The sequence below is a fragment of the Homo sapiens genome, chromosome 20 (assembly GCF_000001405.40).
Source record: "Homo sapiens chromosome 20, GRCh38.p14 Primary Assembly".
In the NCBI taxonomy this organism is placed as follows: Eukaryota; Metazoa; Chordata; class Mammalia; order Primates; family Hominidae; genus Homo; species Homo sapiens.
In genome coordinates, this window is record NC_000020.11 from 42,166,238 (window position 1) to 42,193,892 (window position 27,655).

General features: G+C 40.3%; 1 protein-coding gene across 11 annotated transcripts in view, besides 1 other annotated feature; it reads right to left on the reverse strand.

Moving 5' to 3' along the window:
• PTPRT (protein tyrosine phosphatase receptor type T) overlaps nt 1–27,655 on the reverse strand; it is a 1,158,017-nt gene that overhangs the window by 134,348 nt on the left and 996,014 nt on the right. The window lies entirely within an intron of this gene.
• Nucleotides 13,629–13,829: a silencer, noted in NCBI's record as "peak4219 fragment used in MPRA reporter construct". NCBI's record gives its function as "represses an SCP1 promoter by STARR-seq MPRAs in K562 erythroleukemia cells {active_cell/tissue: K562}" and the evidence as "EXISTENCE:reporter gene assay evidence [ECO:0000049][PMID:32103011]".

Below are 27,655 nucleotides of genomic sequence, written 5' to 3' on the forward strand. Positions count from 1 at the left end.
TGATCCAGTGTAAAACAGCTCTCACCCAGCACTATCCAAAAGAACCTTACACATTGACACCAATGTTCTATATTTGCACTGTTCAATATGGTAGTCACTGGCCATCTGTGGCTATTGAGCACTTTGAAATGTGCCTACTGGTGCTGAGGAAATGAATGTTTAATTTAATTTTGATTTATTTCAATTTAAATAGCCACAGGTGGCCAGTGGCTACTGTATTGAACAATGCAGATCTACACAATTACATCTTCAAAACTTTTCTTCAGATAAACTCTCAACTATTTTTTTTAACTTTGCCTCATTATGAATGATAGTGCAACATAAAATCATGAATGTGATGTGCTAATTTTGTTTTAGTGCTCACTAAAATGTTTACATAACTATTTGAGAAGAAGTCGGGGCCAGGTGCGGTGGTTCATGCCTGTAATCCCAGCAATTTGGGAGGCCTAGGTGGGCGGATTGTCTAGGTCAGGAGTTTCGAGATCAGTCTAGCCAACATGGTGAAACCCCATCTCTACTAAAAGTACAAAAAAATTAGCCAGGTGTGGTGCTGTGCACCTGTAATCCCAGCTACTTGGGAGGCTGAGGCAGGGGAATTACTTGAACCAGGGAGGTGGAAGTTGCAGTGAGCCAAGATGGTGCCATTGCACTCCAGCCAGGGGTGACAGAGCAAGACTCCATCTTAGAAAAAAAAAAAAGGGGGGTCTGTTCATGTTGCATGAGGGGAACTCAATCTGCACCCTGAGAAATGTTGAGTCTGGGTCCCAGAATCAGATAGAATGGGGTTTGGATCATTCCTTGGCCAAGTGACAAATCTTTCTGCATCTCAGTTTCTTTATCTATAATACAGAGAAAACACATGTTGTAAGGATTCAAAGAGATAGTGCATGCTGAGTGCTCAGTACAGTGTCTGGTATCCAGGAAGCAGTAAAAACCAGTATTTGTTCTGATGAATTTGTGCATAATGTCATATTGGACATATGAGAATCCACACACTAGAGATGGCATCTAGGGAGTCATTTAGGGCTTCTTTCGCCTTTCCTTGTCTCCTCTCTGCTTTCCTTTATGACACACCCCAAAGCCATCTATTTTACTCCATTCCTGCTGCTATTGCCCTCATTCAGGTCTTCATGACAGGACTACTCCATCAGTTTCCTGATGGCCCTTCCTTCTTTCACAGTTCCCTTTACAGAGCTTTGATCAAGTCATTTTTCTTAGCAAAAGTCTTCAGGGAGTCAAGACAAAATTTCTTAACTAGCTAATCAAATTCCTGTAGTTCCTTACCAGTATCAATGTATTTCTTCTATCACTATTCATCCTAGCTCCATGTGCTCTTTAGGGCAGGAGAGTATGAAGAGTGATGTGTAAGTAGCTAGCGACTGCTCATTGAGAGGAGAGAGTCTGGAAGAGGAGAGAAGTTTTGAGGTGAAGAGGAGGCTGGGTCACCTGCACAGAGTGGGGATGCAACTGGAACCAACACTGTGGGGACTGTGGCAACAGCAGGTATCAGAGTCAAAGCACAGACTCACTCTGAAGATAAAACATTGGATTCAAATGTGATCTTCACAGATTTCTAGCTATAGGACCTCAAATAAGTTACAGCTGACCCTTGAATAACATGGAGGTTAGGGGAACCAACCCTCTGTGGAGTTGAAAATCCATGTATAACTTATGACGCCCTCAAAACTTAACTACTAATAGCCTACTGTTGAGCAGAAGCCTTATTGATAACATAAACAGCTGATTAACACACATGTTGTATGTTATATGTGTTATATATTGTATTCCTACAGTAAAGTAAGCTAGAGAAAAGAAAATGTTATTGAGAAAATCATAAGGAAGAGAAAATATATTTACTATTTATTAAGTGGAAGTGGATCATCATACAGTTCTTCATCCTCATTGTCTACACATTGAGTAGACTGAGGAGGAGGAGGAGGAGGAGGAGGAAGAAGAAAGGTTGGTCTTGCTGTCTCAGGAGTGACAGAGTCAGAAGAAAATTCATATATTAAGTAGAGCTGTGCAGTTCAAACCCATGTTGTTCAAGGGTAACCATACTTTGAGCCTAAGGTCTTTATTTGTAATTGCTGATGGTGATGACAATGATCATGATTGATCATCATCATCTTCTTCTGAGAAGGTTGTTGCAAGGGTTAAATGTGATTCCACTGGAAGAAATCTCAAGGTGGAACCTGGCTGGCAGTCAGTGCCTCCCCTCTTCTCCCTCACAAAATACTAGAAAAGGCTCAAGATAATAAACTTGTAACAGCTCTGAAATCTAAGTCTATCCACTAACCTATTGCCAGAATCTGGGAAGAAAACTTGTTTATTATTGCAGCAGCACACATCCCATGTGCAGGAAGATATATATTTCAACTGCTAAAAATTTCTCGAAAATCCCTCTCTCAATTGATTCAACATAATCTCTCAATTGATTCAACCACAGGTAGTTTCCCCTCCAACGCTGGAAGTGATTACATTTCCTTGTTGAAGCATAAGATGAAGCAGTTGGCTTGTGCTTAGGAGTCATGTTGTAAGAATGCTCTGTTCTGTGTTTCTGAATTCTAGACTTGCACTAGCATAGGTGTATGAGATTTGTGACCCCTGAGGAACAGTAGATTCACATCCTCTTACTCAATGTAACAACAGATGGATTTACCTTTTCCCATCTTTCTTATGTCTGACCAAACACATAGTAGGGTTGAACTTGTAGAACTAATAGTAATAGAATGCCACTCCACTGTGCCATTTTCTATGGAGCTGAAACAAACATGATACAATTGACTTTGATAGACTTTGTTACTTGGGATAAAGCAAACCCAATGGCCTGAAGAACAGAAAAGAAATGCTTCCAATTTTCTCATTTTAATTCCTGAGCTCAGAGAATCAAAGACTGTATCAACCATATAGCAGGGTTGGGGCATTTCCAAGCTCTTTCTCCTCCTAAACCTCCATCACTGGGGTCTTTGACATGGTAAAGACAAAAGATGGTATCTTTGTTTCCGAGACGCAGATTCAGTGTTAGGAAGCAATTGTGATGGGAACAGTCATGGGAAAATGCTTCTAGGATTCATTTACTGTTTCTGATAAAGAGATCAATCCTCCTGCTTGTGGGGGAGAGTATGAATTCCTTCTTTCACAGCACTCACACCAGATGGAAGGATGGTGTTAGACACTCTATGTAGGGATGGGGGCTATAAACATCCATTGCTCCTCTTGCTTAAACCACTGCCAGAATTTGGGAGGAATATTGATGAATTATAGCAGCATCACACATGCCAGGATGGTATGGAATAAAAGGATTCCAACAATAACTAGTTGGACAGTGAGGCAACGATGAGGATCTACCTCCTCTATTTACTGGCAAGCAACAGGTCTGGAGAGACTTCTCTTCCTTTAAAGTTAAATAAACAGAAACAAGATAATATGAGGTCTTAGAAGAAAATCCACCATGTTAACAGTAAGGAAAGTGATAGCCTGGATACCGTGAAAAGTACAATTTTCAAACACACACACACACACACACACACACACACACACACACACACACACACAACAGTCAGTATTGACTGTTGACCCAAGAGCCATCCCCTGTCTTGTTATTTTCTGGCTAAGTTCACCGTATGACTTGGTGGGGGCGGGGGCAGGGAATGACCCTACTCCCAAAACAAGGGACAAATTCTGATGTCCCTACGCCATCAAGGTGTTCCGATACCTTTTGCAAGTTAAATAAAAATCTTTTATATGATATGGGAGGGAAGTTCCATTAGAAGGCTTCTAGGAAAGGTTCTCTTATCTCTAAGAAGGACAATCCAGTGGCCCGTCTCTGCCACCAGACAGTACCATGTCTGTGTGTGATGCCTGGAACTGCTGAAACAATCTTGCATCCATGAGGGGAGCTGGGCTGAGGTTGCCCTCATGCCAAGATAAGAGGATGAAGAGGAGAGCTTGAAAGAATGTGGGTCCTCAATGACATTCATGGGCATCTCATTCAACCAACTCTAACACTTGACTTCCTGTTCTAGAAGATAATACATTAACTTGCTGCTTAAGCCATTTTTATTCATTTTTTTTCTGTTACTGGTATCTTAATCTAAACAACAGAAAGTAGAAGTGCATTTTAGGTTCCTTGAAGTTTATTGAAAACGAAATGCGAGAAAAGATAGAAGAATAAAGGAAATTAAAGGTGAAATAATAAGACTAAGACAACAGACTTTTCCCAAAATAGATCAAGTTAAGAAGTAGCTAGAAAAAATATTTACTGGGTGAGGTAAGAAACAATTGTAAAGAAACCAAAATGCAATACCAGAATTAAAATGGGCACTGGAATCTGTAATGAGAATAAGCAACAGGCTTGTGGAGAATTAATTTGAAAAACTTGGAAATTAAAACGCAAGGAAAGCAGAACAATACAATGTATATTTCCTTTGTATATATCATCTGCTCATGTGTGTTCATGTGTGAAGGGAACAAAAAGACATTTTTAGAGAAAAGAAAACAAACATATAAAAGACATAATTGCTGTTACAGAAGAACAGAATAAATGGAACAGAAGCACATTATGTGTCCTTTCTTATCAGGACACAATATTAAAACAACTCATTGGCAAAATAAAAACTTAAATCTTCACGTGTAAAGAGTTCTCCACCTACAACTTAAAAATAGAGCCTATATTCTGATACAATTGTTTAAATATTATTGATGTAGAAATACTCAGATAAACATCTAGGCTGGAAAATGGCTATGTATAAAAAATCAGAAACTACGTTACTCATACATTTTCTTGCCCAAATTTAAATTCCAGAAAACAATGAAACAAAATTTTTCAAGTAAAAATGATGTGGCTAAAAAATTATACAGTAAATAGTTTTTCATTTGCGAAGCTACAGAAAGGCATTCCCTGACACATAAAGAATAAGAAGTTATGTTGGCTCTGATTCTTTTCCAGAGGGTTGGGTAGCTGATAAAGCTAGTCAAGGATGTGAGTCCAGAAATAGAGAAAAAAACATCCACAAGAATGGAAGAAGTCTTGTTATAAAAAAAGTTGATTTGGTAAACACAGATATGAGTGTAAAAATCACAATAAATGTGAATCAAAACAGAATGAACTATAAGAGGTAATGCTTAAAGAGAAATCAGATTTAAAAATCTAATATAAAAATTCTTGGCTAAAATTTCCAATTGTATTAACAAAAACCAGGAAGTGGGTGACTGATACATCACTAGGAATAAAAGTATATTATCTTCTTCACCTTTCATAATGGATATTCAATGTGTACTATTTCAATCCTGACACTCTTAATTGAAGAACACAATTTTAAGCGAATGTGTATGTACTGTACAGGGTACTGTAGAGGTGTGCATGTGTGCGTGTGTGTGTTTAAGGCATCAACTACTAGCATAACAAGAAGAATGAACAGGATTCAAATAGAGATAAAAAAACAAAACAAAAGAAAACCCTGACTTCTAGTACAAGTGCATCTGGCATCCAAATTTTGTTACTTGTTTGATAGAAGCACCTGCCAACATAGAAATCAACATTAAAAAAACTGTGTAATACCACTGAAAACTACACTGTCCTGACAAGCAAATGAGAAATCATCCTGTAGAGGTATTTTCATAATCCAAGGCACATTAATTCCCACAGAACAAAACTGCCTCCACTAAAGACGAACTCATAGTAAAAAATAAATTATAAAGAATGACAAGAGCCTTGTAAGGAATCTTATCCCCATAGGAGAGAGTCAGAAGTCATCATACACAGAAAAATACACCTCTCAAGAATTGAAAATAATAAAACAATCAAAGAGACTATTAAGTAAATACATTTAGATTGATTAAAGAGAAAAAAGAAGGAATATGAACCATTGCAATAATGCACACATGACAGAAAAAGGATAGGTGGGTTTGAAAAATATACATTCAACTTCTTGAGATAAAAAAACATAGTCATTGAAAATAGAAAGAAAGTAAATATGTATATAAGAACAGACATGGAACATAACACAAGTTAAAGATACAGCAGAGGAGCTGAAAAAAAACAGCAAAAGCTGGCTCTTTCCTTTGAAAACACCAACAAATTAGACAAACCTCTGCCAAAAAATGATTAAGGAAAAAAGACACAAATAAGCCACTTCACAGTTGTTAGAGACTGACAGAACATTTTTAGCCCAGGCTTAGACTGGAGAATGATTAATGACCAGAGAAGCCCTGAGACACATCTCAAGACTCTGATGGACGTGGTCAGGGTCAGCTGGTAAACACCAGCCCATCACCTGGGTGCTAGCTTTTTAAAAAAGAAGTCATATTTTGAGATCATTACAGATTCACATGCAATCGTAAGAAATAACATAAACGGGTCTTAAATACCCTTCACCCAGTTTTCCCCAATGTTAACACTTGTGTAACTATAGTACAATATTATAACCAGAAAATTGACATATATGTTACTGATCTTATTCAGATTTCATTAGTTTTACATGCGCTTGTGTGTATGTTTAATTTATGCAATTTTATCCCATGTGTAGACCTGTGTGACCACCATCACAGTCAAGATGCAGAAATGGTTACATCACAAGGACCTCTCATGCAATGGAACACTAGCGCTGAGTTTCTTCTTTCTACACTAAGACCTGGTTACTAGATTCTGGGAGACTGCAGCAATAATGAAAAGAATTGTCTCTCAGTGAAATGCCAAACTCCGCTAGGGATCGACAAACTGGGATCCCATCTTTCCTGATGCTCCTTTAATCCAGGCTTCCACAGGACCACAATATGTGGCTGGTCATACATGCTGTGCACTGTTCAATTTTAGAGGGTGTCATTCCTTTGACGGCCTTGCTCTTGTGATCTACAAGGGCCATCAATCTTGACTTGTTCCAGTGACTAGCGGTTATTATTTTCATTTTGAGTAAATCAAGTGGAAAGTTTCACCCATCTGGTCTAGAGAGGAAGCAATAAGCAAAGCATCAGTCTATGGACTTAGTTCCCTAAGAGCTGAGGCAGAGTTAGGAAAGGAGACCTCTGTTCAGAGATTCTTCTATGTGTCTGGAGTGAACTGGGCCACAATAAAGGGTTTTGTGCATGTCATGTGTGTGGGGAGTGTGTGTATCCTGGCAAGCATGTGAGTTTTCCCTTACCTCTTCTCCAACCAGATATAAATGGCTTTTTATCTGTTTTAGAAAATAAACATCTAGGTATAATTTTGTTCAAAAAAGGGTTTCACTATTTTTTAAAAAACTTTCAAAATAATTTTTTTCTTTTTGTCAAAATTCTATCAAAATCAGTGAGGAAAGAGGCAGCAAAAATGCTGATACCAGTGTTCCACAGCATAGGTTGTATAAACAATACATTTGGAAAAAAAATGAAAGGTCGTTGAGTTTGCCAGAGCAACAGATGTTTAGTAGTGATAGGGATTCTCTGTGGCTGGCCTTAACCACTTAGTGATCAAACTAGGAAGTGAGGGAATAAAGCTGAGGGGCGTGCATGGAATCCTGGAAGTATTTTGTTGCACCACAAAGAAGAAGGGATATAATTATGGACTTTTTAAGTCTTTTAACTCACTGGAAATATAAGCCCTTTTTGGTAACATGTAGGTTGATTATTTAATTCTTGCATATTCACCATCCATTTATACTTTCAGAGACACTTGTTGTTGAAAATAATGGCCTTAAAAAATGCTGAACTTTGACCGGTAGAAGAATAACCCATAAATAGACATTGAAATATACGCCTAAAGAATTTTATAAACTGATGATAAAGTAGAGTACAAATATTGGTTGGCAAAGAATGGATTCCCAGAGAGTGTATTATTTTTCAGAAGAGAATGAAGTATATTAAAGTAGATGAAACTGTAAGGTGGCTTAGTGTTAGAAAGATTAATATTATTGGAAAGTTACTTCATGCTTTCAGTAAGAAGTTCTGCATGTGACTATGGCTTGTTAAGATAAATAGCATATGCAAAAGAACTTAGAAGAACATGTCTTGGTCAGTAAGTTACTCAAAGCATAAATAATAAAGAAAGGTAAATCACACAGTTTTAATATTCTTGCAAGCATGAAGGGAGTGATAAGGGTGTGGCATTTGAGAGGAGTTTATATGGAAGGAAAGACTGGGATTAAATGAGGAAGGATCTGAGTTATAGATAAAGGGATTGATTGAGGCAGCAAGCACAAGAAATGGAAAGCGACTCTGCATGTCAGTTCTGTGTTTCACAGAGCCACTACCAGCATAAATAAAACCCGGTATTGATAGATCCATGTGGACTCACCTGCCCCTATTCTCAAACCATCACTTAAAGGAAAACTTGGGCAGGTGAACTTATCCTCAAAGTGGGGCCCTGTGTTGACAGGGACTGCCAGCAACTCGGACAGTCTTCTGCCTTGAAAATTCTAGAGTGTTTGAAGAATCTGATATATTGAGGAAAACGGCAAGTCCAATAGGAAAGACTGAGAGGCTCACACAATACTCTCTGAAGACAGGGTAGTGGTCTAACACGTACAGACTTTGGACATGAATAGGGCTGAGTGAGAACCCTGACACCATCACCTACTGCCTGTGTGATTTTGGGCAAGTTACTCAATCTCTCTGAACCAGTTTCTGCAAAGCCTTTATGGCTAGTATCTCTGAAAACTGGAGATAGAAAGAGAAAATCAAGCACTGATTTATAATTGTTAGAAGCTCAACACATCAGAGGTTATAATTGTTAGAAGTTCAACACATCAGAGGTTAATACAACAGAAGAAGAGATAGTCATTTCTCTCCATGGCCAGGATCCTCAAATCTGCTGCCCCTCTCTTTCCCTATCCATAGTGGCTGAAACAACATCCTTACAACTCCTTGAATCCCCTCTTCCTTCTCCATGTTCTTTTCTCCAAAATAAGGCATGAGAACTTTTTCAAAGGCCAAAGCTGAGCATGTCACCTCCCTGCTCAAACTTTTTATTGGATGCCCACTGTCCTTTGGCTATGTTCCAGATTTAAGATATTTAATATGGCTTCAAGGCTATGATTGGTCTAGCTCTCACCAATCTCATTTGCCTCATCTTGTGTCTCTCTGTCCTTTCCCCTCTAGGCTGCAGCCACACTGTCTCCTCACTGAATTCTCGCCCACCTGAGAATCTGTACAGGACGTGCTATTCTCCTGGAGTGTTTATAACTTTTCCCCCAAACTTCCAAGGCCACGTGGACTCCTATTCATCCTTCAGCACTCAGCTCAAGTCAATTCCTCCTCTAGAATAAACAAACCCATCTGTGGTATGAATGAATGGTGGTTACCAATTGGGTTGAGTAGGGGCAGGGGATGGCTGGGAATGGGCATGAGGGATCTTCCTGGCAAGTCTGTATATTACTAGGGGGCTGGGTTGCAAAGTGTATGCAATTGTTGAACTCATAAAATGGAAAACCTAAGATTTCTGTGTTTTTTTGCAAGTAAATTTTATCTCAAAGGAAAAAACCAGACTCTTGAGTCGGCATTAATGATGTGTACAGTTAAATATTGGGAGGAAAGGGAAGTGTAGTGATGTCTAAAATTTCCTTTGATATGCATAAAAATTAAGATGGATTGAAGGATGGATAGATGGGAAGATAGGTAATAAAATAAATATAGTAAAATGTTAATAGTAGAATCTAGGGGATGACTGGTCACTAAAAGTATTTTAACTTTTCTGAATGAAGATATCAAGGAAGACATCTCTGTCTGCCTCCATCCCCATCTGAGGGTCCCATGTTATATCCTAACAGTATCATTTTCATGAATTACAATATATGTATATTCCTGAACATACATCGTCTTCATGAATTACTATAGTTATTGAATAATAGTGAGATTAGTATCTTATCCTTCACCGGACTGTAAGCTCCATGAAGACAGGTATCATATCTGTGTTGTTTACTCGTGTATCTCCAGAATCTAGTGCCTACTCTGGAAACACTCATTTGTTAGGTACACCTTGCTCTCTGAAATCCACCCTCCACCTTGTTGATAAATACAATGTTTGTTTATCTTCAAGGTTCATCTGTCATGTCTTCTAATTCTTTTGGTGAGGATATCATGATCTCTATTTCCTGCCTCAGTTCCATTTGCCTTGGTGAGTGTGGGGAGGTTGATAAGCCACATTTACTCAAAATGCATATCTTCTCCTGATGGGCTTCTGGTGATTTTAACTACACTCAGATCCGAAGCTCTTCTCTCAGAGTGAAAATGTTCAGCTTCACTGTGGCTCCAGGGGACTGGACATGATTTGGAGTTTCTCATTGGCTCCAGGGTTGTATGTGCACTGAAAACAACTGGCCCAGAATTTTGTATTATGTATATATCACCAAACTCCATAACCTGCACACTTATGGGAAGATGTGTGATAGAAGGAAAAGACTAAGTAATGCCTCACACTGAAAATACAGACTGCTCCTATTTTCTATCTCTCATTCATAAAAATTATAATAAGACTAAGGAATGCAAAATAGTTGCAGAGTAATACTTAGCTAAACTAGAAAAACTCAATTTTGACAGGTTTTTACAATCTTCAGCCTGACAGGTGACTTTGTCTTTTGTTGATGTGCAAGAAAGAGAAAATGAAATAACTAAACTTGTCTGAAAGATGAAATTTAAATGTGCAACAGATGTTTGAAAGAGTTTGCCATTGTTGTGGGTGGATAAAAGCTTCCTTTCTCCATTTCAAACTATGCCCTGGATATTTAGGCTGAGTTTGTGGATATTATGAACTACAAAGACAACGGGACATTAAGACAATGGAAAGAACACAGTTTGGGAGTTACAAGACCTGAGTTTTCATCCTGGTGTTACCACTAAATTATCTTGCACAATTACCTTCACCTTTGTGGACCTTAATTTTAAAACCAGGCAGCTGAATTAGACCAATGCTTCTCAAGGTGTAATGTACATATCTAGAGATCTTCTATAGGCAGATTCTAATACAGTGGGCTGAAGTGTGGCCTGAGAGCCTGCATTTGTAACAAGCTCTCAGGTGATGCTGATGATGCTGGTCCATGGACCACACCTTGAGTAGTGAGGGATTAGGTGGTCTCTAAGGGAGCTTCCAGTTAAAAGATACAATGTGTTCTTTAAAGGTCCTGGAATTTCTCTTAAAAAAGCAAACATTATTCTTTCTGCTCTTACTGAATGAATGAAGTAGTACAGCTTAGTATTGTTCAAAACCAACCAAAAAATGCAACTAATTAAATCTGATGGCCTTAACCCTGGAAAGAACAGATACCTAACACTCTCATAAGAATGAATAAAGCAGTGTGTCCCCATCAAGGTTCAGCCTGGCTGATCCTCAGGTGCTGAATTATAGAGGCTGATCACTGAAATGCCAAACTACTTTGTTTTATATAGTAGATTCCAAATGCTAGTACCGTACAAGAGTCATTCAAAGAACATACTAAATATAGATTCCTTTGCTCCATATTCTAGACATAAGGATTTAGTGGCTTTAGTTTGGGGCCAGTCATGTTTTGGGAACTACTGTTATAACCATTTTATGGGGGGGCAGGATAGCACCTAGGGAAGAAGAATGGTAAGTTTGACCCAATTCCTTATTGGGAACATGGTAAAGATCTTTCTGTCTGTCTGTCTCCCTCCTTCTCTTCTCCCTTCCCTCCCCTCCCCTTCCCTTCCTCTCTCTCTTTTTTCTTTCTTTCCTTTCTCTCTCTCTTTCTCTCTCCTTCCTTCTTTCCTTCCTTCTTTTCTTTTCTTTCTTTCATGGAGTCTAGCTCTTTCGCCCAGGCTAGAGTGCAGTGGCATGATCTTGGCTCAGTGCAACCTCTGCCACCTGGGTTCAAGCGACTCTCCTGCCTCAGCCTCCCAAGTAGCTGGGATAACAGGCACCTGCCACCACACCCGGCTAATTTTTGTATTTTTAGTAGAGATAAGATTTCACTGTGTTGGCCAGGCTGTTCTCGAACTCCTGACCTTGTGATCCACCCACCTCGGCCTCCCAAAGTGCTGGGATTACAAGCGAGAGCCACCGTGCCCAGCCAGAAGATCTGTTTTTCAAGCCTGCTTGCCAGCCTCTGAAGAATCCTAGTGATTCTCATAGTAATAAAGGTGTGCAAGTCATAAGGGAGTCAATGTTACAGGGAAACAGTCCCTGAATAGTTGCCCTTATGGGATGTCAAAGCTTTGAGGATCCCTGGCAGCTGCAATGAGAGGTCTGGACTGTAATTCCTATCTTCTTGTCTATTGAAATGCATCAGAAGAACCAGGGTTAAATCCTGGCTCTACTACTTATTAGTCAAAGGCTTTGGGCAAATTAATTAACATCTCACATGTTAAGCCATGTATTAGTTATCCACTGCTACTTGACAAACTACCCCCAACCACAGCAGCTTAAAATAACAAACATATACGATCTCAGTTTCTGCAGATAGAAATCTGGTTGCAGCCTAGATGTGTATCTCTGGCTCAAGGTCTTTTGTGAGGTTGCACTCAAGCTGACCGCTGTGGTAATGATCTCATCTGAAGACTCAGCTGGGAGAGAATTCAAGTTAACTGATTTCATAATCACTGACATGATACTGACAGATTCATTTTTTCATGGGCTACTGCAGTATGGGACTCAGTTCCTTGCTGGCTGTTGGCTGGGCATCTCCCTCGATTTCTTGCCAATAGGTCAACTTACAATATAGTAGCTAGCTTCCCAAGGAACAGACAAGTGGGAGTGAGAGAGAGCACCCAAGATAAAAGCCACAGTCTTCTTAAAGACAAATCTTGAAAGGGACATCTCATCACTTTATCATATCCTATTCATTGGAAGCCAGTCACTAGATCTTGGCTGCAATGAGGAAGGGCGTTATATAAGAATGTGGCATAGGAGGCAGGGATCATTGGGGCCATCTTAAAGTTTGCCAACCACAAATCCTAATATCATTCTGCAATGTTTTTGTGAGAACCAAAAGAGGTAATGTCGATGAAAGAACATTTAAATATACACATATGAGAGTATATTATAATAATTCATTCCAAGGAGTCCAGTCAAAATCTTCCAGCTGACTTTGCTTAGCTTTGCCAAGTATTCCAAGGCATTCACTTAATAAAAGTTTTTTAATTCATGAAAGCTTCTAAAGTACCCTCTTTACACTTTTCCAAAGAGTTTTCCAAGATCTGATTTTTCAAGGAAAGTAAATGGTTTAATTTTCCTTATCACATGAATTGCCATTGACAACAATCTTTAATCGTTAAAGAGTTAACAATGTACTTTCAATTGCTTTACGCAGATAAAAAATCCATTCCCTAAGACAATGAATTAGCCACATAATTGACAGCCAATTCCAGTAATAAAACGCTAATTAAGTGATAATGCTAAGTAAAAAATATAATGTGATGAATTTGCTAAACAATGGCCTAACTAATAAATTTTCATGCTAAATAAATGATTTGGAATGGTGACTAAACCCTCACCACATTTAGGGTCAGTTGAAAAAGCAATGATGCTTTCAGAAAACAATGACAGAAGTGACTGTGCCAGCTAACATCCTTAACAGTATTACACTGGGCTCTTTGCCAAGCAGGGCCAAGGGACTAAGTCTGAATGGGGTAGGTGTACCGGAATCTGGGGGGCTGGAGCAATCACCATGATGATAGTATGGGTGACTAGCCTAAAGAAAGGCATGGAATAGCCAAGTATAGCCAGCTGTAGTAATAGCAGAACCCAGCAATGGGCAAGAAGATGCAGAAATCAATGCTAGATCATCTTGAGCTAAAGAAGATCAGGGTCAGCACCAAGGACAGATCCTGGATGCGGTGGCTCCGGGAAGATTCCTGCAGATAGACGTGTTTTGTCATAAACAAGGAAGTCAAAGATTACAGAGTTTTCTCCTTACCCCAGAAGGCTAGGCTAGTGGTGAGACTCAGCTCTCATAGGCACAAGGGTCTTCACTATTTTTTGGAAGCACCATGGTTTCAACCCATTTAATTTACAATGGTACCTTCTGAAAGGATCTAAATTTAGAGGAGAAGTCCATATTTCTTATGGGTTCCACTGGTTTTGACTGACCTTTACAGCTGGAACAGGGTTCTAGCTTCCACATATCAGGCACATGCTTGCCTTGGGAGCCTCTAATAGAGACACTCTTTCCTGACATGGCTCACATCTGTTACCTTTTTAAAGTCTTTAGTCAGATGTCATCTTCTATAAAACTGCAATCCTCCTCCACTTATGACTCCTGATCCCATTCAGCATGTTCTATTGTTTCAGTGCACCCTCACTTGTTATTATGTCATATCATATAATGTACTTATCTTTTGCTGTCCATTGCTTATTTCCTGTCTCTCTTTCCACTTCCTACCATCAATGGAATGTAAGCTCTAGAAAGACAGGGAATTTTTAATTTCTGTATTCTTCACTGATGTATATTAAAAGTGCATAATATGTCAGGCACATAGTAGGTGCTCAACAAACCTTGTTGAATAAATGAGTGGCAGCATGTTCAGAAGCTTGTTACACTCTAACCTCTGAAGAGAGTAGTGCAATCTTAGAAATCAGTGGAGTAAACAAGAGCCTATATCCTCTGATTTTAAGACACCACTGTCCCAGTATGCCATCCTCTTACTTAGTGGCTTCAGAGGTGTCCGCATATTTCTCACTATTCGGGAGGGAGTACATTATAGTAGTAGGATCATATGCAAGAGAAAGATTAAGTTTAAATCCTAGCTCTACTACTAATAGCTATGTGACCTTGAGCAAGTTATTTAATCTCCCTGAACCTCAATCTCCACATGTGTGAAAGAAGCCTAGTACCAACAATAATCATCAACTCATAGGTTTTAAGGATTAAATGATATAACGTATGCACAGCATCTAGCATAGTCCTTGGCACACAGTTAGGGCTCAATAAATATTAGTTTCTTGTACTTTCCCATTTAAATACAATATGATACATCCCTTAATACATAAGAGTAAATTGACTTTTCAGATTATGCCAGATATTGGGAAGGCTCACAAGGGCATGAAATTGGAGAAGAGTAAGCTGTGACTGGGGAAGTGTAAAAGGCTAGAAGCCTAGAGCCCTCTGGAGGAGAGAGGGGAGATCACAAGGGTAGGGGCAGTAGGGGACACAAAGTGGGTCTGAAGAGTGTTCCCTCTGTTTTCCAGGGCTACACTGAGTGGTAGAGAGTCCAAGGAAGCCAGTATTTGGTGATGGGGCCTTTAGAACTGATGACTAGGACAAAGATACAAGGATTAGGACTTTCTAAGAAATGGAGGTGCAAAGTGCACCATATATCTCTCCCAGACTAGTGCAATGGTCCCCTCCCTTGTCCTCCTCCCTCAACCTTCCTCTATGGGATTAAAATCTAAGAGTAACCCTAGTCATCGCTATGTCTGCAGGTCCTCATTGTCCCAGCAATGCATAAGATCAGTTGACTGAATACTGAATAGTGAAAGTGAACCATTGTGATCTATCCTGACTTAAAATTAGCATAATGATTCATTCAACAAATACCACTCAATCGTATTCATAGGCCAAGCACCATACTAGTCTCCAGGGATATAGTAGAAGCCCGGACAGAAGTTGTCTATGCAATCATGGTTTAAAAGTCTGGTGAAGATGACAGACATTAGCCAAAAAATTATTAAATGAATAAACATTTGCATACAAGAAATTTCTGACACATGCTAAGAGGGACTAGAATGTAGTAAAATTAAAAAAAAACAACAAGTGGCCACTGTTTAGATAGACAATTTAGGGAATCCCTCAAAAGAAGACATTTAATCATAGACCTGAAGGATAAAAAGTGGCTAAACAGTGAAATATAGAGTGGAAGACTGTTCTGGAAAGAGCAAACAGAATTGTGAAAGCCATATTTTGGGAAATGCTTAGTGTTTTCAAAGAATAGGAAGGAGGTCAATATGACTGGAGTATATTGAGCAAGACAGAGAGTAGCCAGAGATGAGACTAAAGATGCTGACAGAAGTCATGTCATTCTGAGCCTTGTAGGCCACGAGGTTAATTTTTACTTCATCTGGAGGGCAATGGGAAGCCAATAACGGATTTTTGGTTGAGCAGTGGCATTGTGAGTTTGTTTTTTAAAATTGAAGAACACGCTAGGCAAATGGCTATTTCATAAATAAAGCATAACAAAGATAGTGAGTTATTGGTATACTTCTGCTGATGGATCAATATGAAAGGAGAATGATGGGATAGAATAAGAAGGGTTACAGAGAGGGTGACAGGGACCAGATTTGCAAGTGTGTGTATTTGCTAGAACACAGCTGGCTGAAGATTCACTGGATGACCATTTGGGTCTCCACTGCAGAAGAGACAGAAGTGACTGTTAGTTTGGAATGACTCCTATGTTCTGAGCCTCTGTCATGTCTGTACATCAGTGGGAATTTCATCTAACCTAGATCAAAGATCCTGAAGATAAAAGGTTTCACCTTGGAAAAACTCAACTGGTCCCATGAGACATTAACTGAATAAGAACACTCATTTCAAAGTCAAACATGTCCAAAAATTTCCAGGTATCACACCCTCAAAATACTGACTAATCAATACAATATGGAGCAAGCAGGGAGATCTAGTCAATACACTCGGCTTAAAAATGGTTTCAAGAATGGAATGCCGTAGAACACCTTCTCTCTACCATTGCTTCATTACAGAGAGTTGGCCATACCCGTTGGGTTGTAGTGACTGTTAATCCTACAAGCAGGGGTGTGTGTGTGTGTGTGTGTGTGTGTGTGTGTGTGTGTAATCAGATTTCCATGTGCACCAGCATTTTGTGCTGTCACTTTCCTTGAAGTCTGATATAGGCAGAAACAATACTTACTTAAAGCTTTATCCACTCCCACTCTCCAAAACTTTTACCTCACTATCACCAAGATGATCTTTCTAAAACCGACTCAATCCTTCCTTTCTACTTCTTAAAATCTATGTTAGCTCCTTGCAGAAACATAATACATTTCAAACTCCCTAGTATTCGAGACCCCAGTTCCTGCTTACCTCTTCAGGTTCATCTTTTACCACTTAATCCTATGGTTCTAATATTTCAAGTACTACAGAGAAGCCAATCCACTTATAATTTTAAGTGCAACATAAGGAAGGGTCTTCCTGGGAACCTAACAGCAAGGAAGACCAACACCATGGACAGAGACGCTAACACCGTCCCCTGCCCTTCACCCTGTCTTTCAGGATATAGGAAGAAGTTAACATTACTGATGTCTTTTGGACTCTGGATGTTAGGGAATACATTTATACTCACAAGGAATTGTACAAGAGAGCAAAAGCTATAGATTTGTAAAATGTGCAGAGACCACAAAACTACTTGCTTGTAATAGCAGAATTATCACGCTAATCCAAGTGGAAAATGGAGGTTTTGAAAATATTCCTATTATTGACTATATTAGCCAAGTAGACTTTCCCACCTCTATGCCCCTGTATATGTATTCTTTTATTTTAGAATAATGTCATAGCTTGTTACCAGGATGACCACAATTGATTCCTTCTCTTCCTATATGCATATGCCATTTTTCCTATAGAAGGGTTGAGTCTGCTCCTCTACTCCCTTAAATTTAGGCTAATATGTGACTGCTTTTAATAATGATACACAGCAGAAGTGAAGCTGGCTAGTTCTGAGCCTAGTTTTTAGGAGGACTAGCATTTCTCCTGGCTTTCTCAAACACTTGCTCTGGGGGAAGACAGCTATCATGCAAGAAGTACAATTACCATGAGTCTGTCCTGTTGCTAGGAAGCCTAAGGTAGATGTATAGGGAGAGAGTGATTCCAGCCTACCCTAGATGTTACAGTCATTTTAGCATAGGGGTTGAATATGCAAATGAGGGAGGCATTTGGGCCTTCCATCCCTGACAGATGCCACCTAAGGAAGAACTGAGGTCCCAGACATGTTGTCCTACAAGAGCTGTCACAGTCATCTCCAGCCATTCAAGTCATCCCAGCTGAGGCTCCCCATTTTCAAGCAGACACAAGCTATCCCTGTTGTAACCTATCCAAACTCCTGGCCCAAAGAATTAGAAGCCAAATACAATGGTTGTTGTTTTACACTGTTAAGTTGTGATATGGTGTGTTACACCATGTCACTTATTTCTTCTTTTCTGCATTGACTAATTCTGACCACACAGTGTTTAAGATTCAACTTCTCTATGATGTTTTCTTTGATCACCTTGAAGTACCTTAAGGATTCTATTTCCTGCTGGTATTTCTTTCCTTTCCTTTCCTTTGCTTTCCCTCCCTCCCTTCCTTCTTCCCTCCCCTCCCCACTCCTTCCTTTCTTCCCTCCTTCCTCCCCCCTTCCTCCTCCTCCTCCTCCTTCTTCTTCTTCTTCCTCTTCCTCTTCTTCTTCTTCTTCTTATTCTTCTTCTTCTTCTTCTTCTTCTTCTTCTTCCTCTTCTTCTTCTTCTTCTTCTCCTCCTTCTTCTCCTTCTCTCTCTCTCTCTCGATAGAGTTTCACTCTGTTGCCCAGGTTGGAGTGCAGTGGCATGATCTCGGTTCACTGTAACCTCCACCTCCTGGGTTCAAGTGATTCTCCTGCCTCAGCCTCCTGAGTAGGTGGGATTACAGGCATGCACCACCACACCCGGCTAATTTTTTTTTTTTTGTATTTTTACCAGAGATGGGGTTTCGCCATGTTAGCTAGAGTGGTCTCGAACTTCTGACCTCAGGTGATCCACCCACCTTGGCCTCCCAAAATGTTGGGATTACAGGCATGAGTCACTGCACCCAGCTCATTCCTGCTGGTATTAAACTCATCCTGGCTGCTTCTCACCTAGAAGAATTTGATATCCTATCAACTCATCGTGGCTTCCTCTCACCTAGAAAACCAGCATGGTCCAAATATCTTCCTTTTTACCTCACAGTTTTTACTTCGGAGTTTCAATAACTAGAGAAACATCTTGGCTGCCAGGACAAGTGGTGTGGAAAAGCCAGGTATCCATGACCACATAGATTAAACCCATGTAACAGGTGCCCATCATCTCCCAGAACCTCCTCAGAATACTGTTGTCCCCATGGCTACCTGTAGGGTCATCCATCCAATCAAGAATCACATCTGTTGTTATATATGCTTCTTTCCTTTACTATTTTTCTTGGTTCTTCCATCGGGAGGGCCATATAGTAGCCTATCTGAATCTCTGCCTATATTTGTATGTGGTCTGAAGATCACCAGCTGATTTCTCTTCCTATTCCTATGATTGAAGGACTAATTGTATCAGATTCCCAGATCCAAATGGTTGACTTCTTGAGGATATTTTGAGCAGCAGCTTCTGGTTTTGTAGGAACCATAAAAAGGGCTTTGTAAAATTCCCTTCAGTGTTGGCTACAGTGGGTGATGGCAGGAGTGGGAGAGAGGCTAAGATCCAGATAGCATCTGACTGGCAAAGCATCATCCCTTGATTTCTTTATCCACCTTTATTCAATTCTGAACGCTGAAAACAGGACAATAGTGTGTGATGTCAGTTGTACTGAGCTTTCTAAATATTCCTTTTAGTTTTCTCTGAGTATATAGGATTTATATACCTAAGTCTTGTCTGTTTATCCAACTATTCATCTACCCATCTGTCAACAAGAGTTTCAGGTATTCATTCTGTGCCACATGCTGTGCCACATGTTGAGGATACAGTAATAAGCAGAAAATAAATGGTCCTTCCCTCTCGAGCTTGCCATCTAACAGAGGGGTCAGGCACTCTGCTGAGGATACAGTAGTAAACAAAAACATGGTCCTCCTTTCTTCAGCTTCCCATCTAGTAGAGGGGTCAAGTCTTAAACACATTTGCAAACCGCAGTTGTTGCTGAGAAAAAAGGTGGAATACAATTCTGTCATAGCACCTAACAAAAGAAATCCAATCTGGTGAAGGGAGAAGGGGGTCAGGAAAGGAAGAAATGTAAGAATGGAGGTCTAAAGGAATCAATTAGGAGAAAAGCATGGGTATAGCCAGTGATCTAGATGAGGAGTTGGAAAACATTTCTGTCAAAGACCAGAGAGTAAATATTTTAGGCTTTGTGGGCTAGGTGGTCTCTGTGGCAACTACTCAACTCTACCATTGTAGTACAAAAGCAACCATAGGAAATGCATGAACAAATAAGCATGGTTGTGTTCTAATAAAGCTTTATTCTAATAAAGACAGAGTGCACTGGATTTGGCCTATGGGCCTCCCATCCCACGCTCCTTCTACCACATTCCTTCTACCACACTTCCACCCCACATTCCTTCTACCACAGGACCTTTGACCATGCCATTGCTCTGTCTAGCAATAGCACAGTCAAAGGTCCTGTGGTAGAAGGAGTGTGACAAAGTTTAAGTACTGTGAGAAGATTATGGTGTCACGGAGCTCACAGAGAAAGGGGAAGTGAGATGAGAGAGCCTGGGGAAGGTCAGAAGGACAAGACCTGTATGTGAAGTCAGGATGGGGACTTTGATCTTTAGCTTATAAACAATCAGAAGCAAAAGAATTGTTTTAACCCAGGGATGAGTGGTACAACGTGTTTAGATTTGCCTTGAAAAGGTCTCCCTGGCTCCTATGAAAAAATAGACTACAGAATGACACGGATGGATATGAGGATTATTTAGGAGTTGTGGATCTTATTCAGGTAAGAGATGATGATGACTTGGACAAGGATGGAGGTAGTGGATATAGAGGAAAATAGATGGATTCTAGATATATCGAAGATGTAGACTCATCAAAACTTGGTGTTGAACTCGATGTGGGAGGTGAGAGAGAGGAACGTGTCAAGATTAATCTATGTTACATCTCTCCTGAATGTATCCTTGCTATTAAGGGGAATTGAAGTTTTATTTCATTTTCAGCCCCATATAATTAGGATATCAACTCATATGATTGGTAAGGTGAAAAGTAAATCATCTGAACAGAGATGAATCACAGGTTAATGGATCACGACAGCTCCCCCACCCTCACTGGACAACATTCTCTTGGCAGCTTCTACACACACCTCTACTGGGCATACCAAGTCATATAACTATTATCTGTGTTCCCTATTTCATGGGCTTTTTGAGAGTAGAAATGCCATTTCTTATGCTACTAATGGTTATTATTTTGGTTAGTGGAATCTTGTGCTCACTTAACATCTGTCTATTCTACAGGTGAGTGTAGATTTGAGATGTGTTTGATGTCTGGTGGGGTGGGCAGTTCTTTCCACCTAGTTAAGAGCATCTCACTAAAAGTCAACCGGTGCTGAGTAACTAAACATCATGGAACCCTTTTCAAAATTATGTAGGAAGCAACCCAGAGAATTATGGAAATGGTGATGCACTGAGCATAGGGGCTTTGCCCATCCTTGGCCCTTTGCTATTTCCTTCTACTACCTCACATGCAGCTTTTCAATCTTTGTGATAGTCCGCCCTATGGCTCTTCCATTGACTTTCCTAGATCCACTCCCAACCATTAATACATAAACCAGACCTCAGGTTCTTGCCGTAAACTTCTACTTTGAATGTAGAGATCCTATCACAATCCAGCTGAGTAGATATTGATGGGGTCTTCTAATCCATCAGCTCCTTCACACATTCTGAGTTCCATCCCAGGATCCAGGTGATTTCCAGAATGCTCTGCACTTGGACCACATTTACACAGCCCCATTTATAGCCCACTGTTTTGATGTTATACCCTGAGCTTTAACTGATGGCTTTTCTATAGGTCCTCCTATATGTAAGTCTTGGCTCAAAGTTCTGGTTCTTCCATTAACTTGCTGAGTGATCCTAGGCAATGAGTTTCACCTCTGTGGGCCGCAGTTTCCCTATTCATGGCAAAGTCTCCAATCACATTGTATACAAAATGCAGTGAACATTTATATCCCCAGGCCAGGCTCCTCTGTTGAGCTCCAGGCCCCAGAGTCCACTGCCAACCTGGCATCTCTTCCATGACTCAATAACACCTCAAATCGATTGGCCTAGATGTAAATGTCCCCCTCTTCTGCTTCAAATCTGGCCCCTTCCTGTGCTATCTCATTTGGCATCATCACCACCTACCTAGAGTGAGTATGAGCAGAAAGGAAGAGCTTCAGGGCTAAGGCCGGGGACACTTCAATGATTAGAGGTTGGGAGCAAGTACAGAACCAGTAAAGAAGAATGAGAAGAAATGGCTGGGGAGGAAGGCAAAACACAAGGAGAGCAAAAGTCAAGCAAAGAAAATGTTTCCAGAAGGAGGGGCTGCGTGATAGGTCCATCATGTGAAACTAGGTTCAAGCCCTGGGCTTGGTTTCTCGGTAGCTATGTGACCTTGAGCAAGTTACTTAAGTTCTCTGAGCCTCAGTTTCCATAACATGCCTCATAGCATTGTTGAGAATATTAAATGAAATGAGGCATAGAAAGTGCTTTGTCCAGCAATTACTCACAAAATGTTAGCTAGTAGAATTATTATCTATGTTTTCAACTCATCAAGTCTGTAGCTTTGAGCAGAGGGGGGGAAATTGGTCTCTAAGCTCAGTTTATTCTGCTACCTAGCAACTATATATTTACATCGTCAACATCACTTCTTTATCCCTGATTACTTTAACAAGCACTTTTTAAGTGCTCTGTTATAATTCAAGACCACCTGTGAGGTGTAGAGAACAATTCTATTTTCTTCTCAAGATGTAGTGGCCTAGGATAAATTGTCAAAAAGCAACTTCAGCCTTGTAACTTTACTGAGGTCTCTTTGAAAGTGTATTGAGGAATGCTTGGGCCAGCTGACAATGACAGTGAAGGTCTGTAACTGATAAAATGCACTCTGCTTATCTACAATAGAAAGCTGGATCTATACAACTCAAAGAGCATATGAAGCTGGGTTCCAAAATCACACAAGGACAGCTGACACTGGGATCACTCCAATTCCCAAGCAGGTTACCCTTCCTGGAAAGTGAATTTAAATGGGACACAAATGTGAAGTCCTTTCCAAGGAGGCTCCAGCTACCATTCCAGCTTCGTCTCTGGCCATACATTCTTGACACAGAGTATCTTGGACTTCAAACCCACTTCTCTGAGTCCACCAGACCTCACACCTCATATTTCCAAGCTTTTGCCCCTTCCACCTGGGTCAATCTGTTCTCTTGCACTATTTTCAAATCAAAATCCATCTCCTTACATCGTATTTTCCAAATCACTTAGCCAGAATTAATCACTTGCTGGGTGTCTGATCAGTGTTTCTGGGACACTATACACACCTTTTCTCTATCATTTATCACATTTATTGAAACTAATCCACTTACAACTCTCCTCTTAGAGGACAGTAATATCATTGGAGGCAGAGACCATGTCTTATTTATCTTTACAATCCCTAAAATGCTTGGCATAGAGTCGGCATTCATTGAATATTTAAAGGAACACCTCAGCTACTCCCATAACCAGGAGATGAAAAGTATAATTCAATTTGAGAAGGTTCTATTTATGCAGAAATCAGATTAGGAGTCTACAGAAAATATTACATAGAAGACAAACCATTGTTGACTGTACTTCATTCCTTTGAAGGGTACCGTGGGACAAAACTAGAACGGTCGTGTCCCTAATTAAAGGCCACGGGCCCAATTCTAGCTGGTTCTACTTGTGACTCATTGAGTGATCTTGGGAAAACTCTCTGCAACTCAAATGTTCATTTTTAAGATGAGAAGTTTGGATCAATAACATCTAAGGTAATTTTTAGTTTTAGTTTGATTATGTATAACTATTATATCTTTTTTGAGTCTAATATTCTTCTCTAAAACTTGTCTTAATTTAACTCCTTAGTGTTTGTGATGGAAAATTGGTCAACTTTCTCAAGGCTGCCTAAATTTCCATTTTGTAACTGCTAAGGAATAAACAATTCCATTCAACTTTGGGTTGCCAGGAACTTAATAAGTGTGTCCTTTAATCTGTCAGCTAAGTGGATGATTGCAAAATATTCAATAATTCCTGTAAGATATTCAATAAAACTGGAGGGGGCAAGCTTGTAACATTCAATTCTTCTCCCAGATTCAATTTAATCTTGGAGCAACCTGAAAATATAATTGTTCCTGCAAACAGGATTTTTGCATCTTTGAGTTCTTTTTCACAATGCTCTGTTGAGCTCTCGATTTCAGTGTGTGACTCATCATTGCTTTTCCTTGTAAATTTCCACTCCTTCCATCCTGACTCTTAGATTGTTCACTGTTCAGACAAAAGGAGACAAAATCAAAGATACGGTTGAGATTCCCAGATTCGGGGACCCTCATAACTATTAATGGGCTTTAGCACCCTTCAGGTCCAGTACTCCTATGGCAATAACCTCTTAGTTCATCTACCCAGGGAGGTGAGCTAGAGCCTTCCTCTCCCAGAGAGGCCATAATTCTACTATCATGAAAGACAGCTTTGCAAATAAAGAAGAAGGGCTTGAGTCTGACAGTCCTGGGCATTACTTTGAGCTAGTGATTCTCTGAATCACCTGGAAGGCTTGTTAAAAACTGATTGCTTGGCCCTAACCCTAGAGTTTTGGGTTCAGTAGGTCTGAGGTAGGGCCTGAGAATTTGCTTGTAACAAGTTCCCAGGAGATGCTGATGCTGCTGTTCTGGAGATCATGCTTCAAGAACCACTGCTTTGAGCAGATGACTCAGTGTCTGTGGCCTTAAGTTTCCTTGTCTATGAAATGGGAATAATAACATCTACAGAAGGCAGCATGGAGGAGTAGTCTTGGACTAAGGGCCTCGGGGTGTCAGGCTGACCTAGGTTTGAGTTCCAGCTCTGCCATTTAAAGCTACAAAGCCTTAGGCAAATTCCTTACTATTTTAAAGCCTGTTTCCTCACCTTTAAATTATCAGGTATAATCATAACACTTACTTAATTTTCCCACCATACCAATGAGATAAGAATGCTTATACAATATAAAACACTCAGCACGTAAATGGGCATATAATTAATGCTCTGTATATAATAACTAGGATCATAAATATTAACAATGTAGTAATTCCTACATTTCAAGGCCCCAGACTAGGAGGATTAAGTGATTGGCTGACACAACCAGAAATAAAAAAAAAAAAAATAGCCCTGTAGGCTTGGCAAGCAGGGTCAAACCTAACAAGAAACAGAACAGACAAAATGTAAAATCTTTGATTTGGGCCCCAAAAGTCATCTTCATCTGGGCTGACTGAGGCAGCCCTAGCTGGAAGCCATGATTTCTACATTAGGCAGTCACGTGATGAATATTTAGAGGTTAATTAAAACATGAGTGATATATTTTAAACCCAGGTTTAGGATCAGAGTGAGGGTGATGGTAGCTCTCTGAACTCCCAGTGACTCAGCCCAATGTAGAGGGTCATGGTTGTCTTGGAAACCACACATTCCGTGGGCATGGACCAAATGGAGACAGAAGGGTCAAAAGAGATTTTGAGCAGACTGAAAAACAGAAATTTATTCCGAGGAGGGCTGATGGCTGATGCAGTGACTGTTTAGCCTGAGGGAAGGACCTGGGCACAGAGGTAGCTGCAGTCAAATAGCTGGGGAGGGTGTGGGTGCTGCAGGAAGAGAAGCACTGATTCCATTACCCTGTGTGACACCAGAGGGCAGACAAAGGCCAGCACGTGGTTGCTGACTAATACATGGTTGTGTACAAAAGCAGGAATGAATGAAGTTACAGAGGACAGATTTTGGCTTAATTGAAGAGAGAATACATTATGAGAAAAGATGGAACCAGGTCTGGGCTTGGAACTAGATCTGAGTGTGAATTCCAGCTCCATCATTCATTCATTCATATATTCAAACAAGTACTCAATGAGTATCTGATGGGCCAGAGAGTTGGGCAACTGTCATTATGTACTGATCAACAACAATGAGGGGTGGGGGATTTAGGATGCAGTGTTTAATACAGCTCTTAGCTTGGGGTCATCAATTATGCCATTTATGAAATCAAGATAATGATTCCTAACTGGTTGCATTGTTTTGAGGATCAGAGACAATATGTGAACAGCACCTAGCAAAATGACTGACCCAGAGAGAGTCCCAAGCAAATGTAGCAATCCTTGACATCACACACCATCAAGTCAAGAGTTTTTGCCAGAGAAGATCAGGGTCAGGCCAGTTTTCCCAGAGACCCATTTCCCAGCCAGCTGGCCATTTTCCTGAAAGGGTTAAGGAATCTTTACAAAGAGTTTACCACCACCCCAGCCAGCCTCTATTGTTTTAAAAGCCATGATCCGTCTTCCCTATTTGAATTGCTTTAGTTATATAACATGTTCCTAAAATAATCTGGCTAAAATTTTGCCTGGTACTTCCTTCTGCCTGCCTCATCTCTACTGAACCATCCCAAGGGAGTACCAAGCCTGAACATTCTCTGAACTGCCCACAAAGAAACCCTTTTATGAGGTCTGTGTGGTAAAGAACAGGAAGAATATCAGGTTTCAGGGTCCACCCTCCTCTTTGGCAGAAAATACCTCTTAAGGTGACTGTGTGCTGGCTGCCTGGTATATTTTGGTCATGTTGGGAGGTACAAAGTCAGGGAAAGGGTCCTGTGGCTCTTCGTGTAGGCTTCCATTGCACAAAGTCCTGTAACAAAGGTTCTCTTTCTTGAACCATTTGTCTCCACTGCCAGGCTGCAAGCTCTCTGTTAGGCAGGGGCCATTCTTTGCTCCTCTCTCTCTATAACTACCCAGGGATTGGTCTAGCTTTGGGATGCGTAAGGATGGGACTACTGGTCTGCAGTCCCACTTTCCTAAGAGGGTCCTAGTAGGATGATTCCGGCAGAACCTGTCTGTGCGTACATCCACTTGGCAGCTGCCTTCCTGAGGCAGGAGTTTCAGGGAATAGAGGAACCAGTAAGAAGCACTGTTCTCCCAGCCAGAAAGTCTATTTCACCTTGATTTCCTGTCTCTCCTTCACTCGCCTTCATGGTAGAGAGACCGCTAAAGGTCAAAGGAAAGACAAAGTTGCTTGGTTTTGAAAGTAGAATATCTGCTCTGGGGTCCAGGGCCCATTATCTATTTGTCATATGACTTCAAGAAGATCTTTTAATATCTGAGAGCATCAGTTTCCTCAACTGCAAAATGAATTCGATAATAATCATATGGACTATACAGGGTTACTGAGAGAATGACTAAGACTCCATATTTGAGCATGCTTATCATAGTACCTGGCACCTTGTGGGAATCTGCTAGGCTCCATGCCAGTACCTGGCCCCAGGCCTCTGTTCAGAAAACAGCTGTGGCAGCAGCTTCTGCCCACATGGTAGAAAAGCCAGCTGACCTATCAGTAAGGAAGTGAAGTTCTCCCTTTCTCCCGGCTGTCAGTGACCTTCCTCTGTGAGACTGGTGAATGTTGGGCTACCATCCACAGTAGAGGAGAAGGAACACTGATTTAGGAGTCAGAGAGCCTTATTTGCTTCTAATTCTATCCCTACTCTTTCTTCATTGTGTGACTTTGGGCTTATTTACTTCAGTTCTCTGAAGCTCAATTTTCTCATTCACAAAATAGGAATAATATCTAATGATAGGGTTCCTTGGGAGCTTCAGAGTGGAATTTATATAAAGCATAAGTTTTAGCACATAGTAGGTGCCCAATAAAAGTTATCTTCTTCTTTGGGCATTTTCTACTAGAAATCCCAGAGCCAAAGTGGAATTTAAAATTATCAGAGCGCATATTTTAGATTACATTTTAATGTAATATAGTTATATTTCAATATATCCTGGTCCTGACCTTCACATTTTCCTGATACTGATTATTTTTCTCACTATTTTTTAAATTGTAGGTTCTT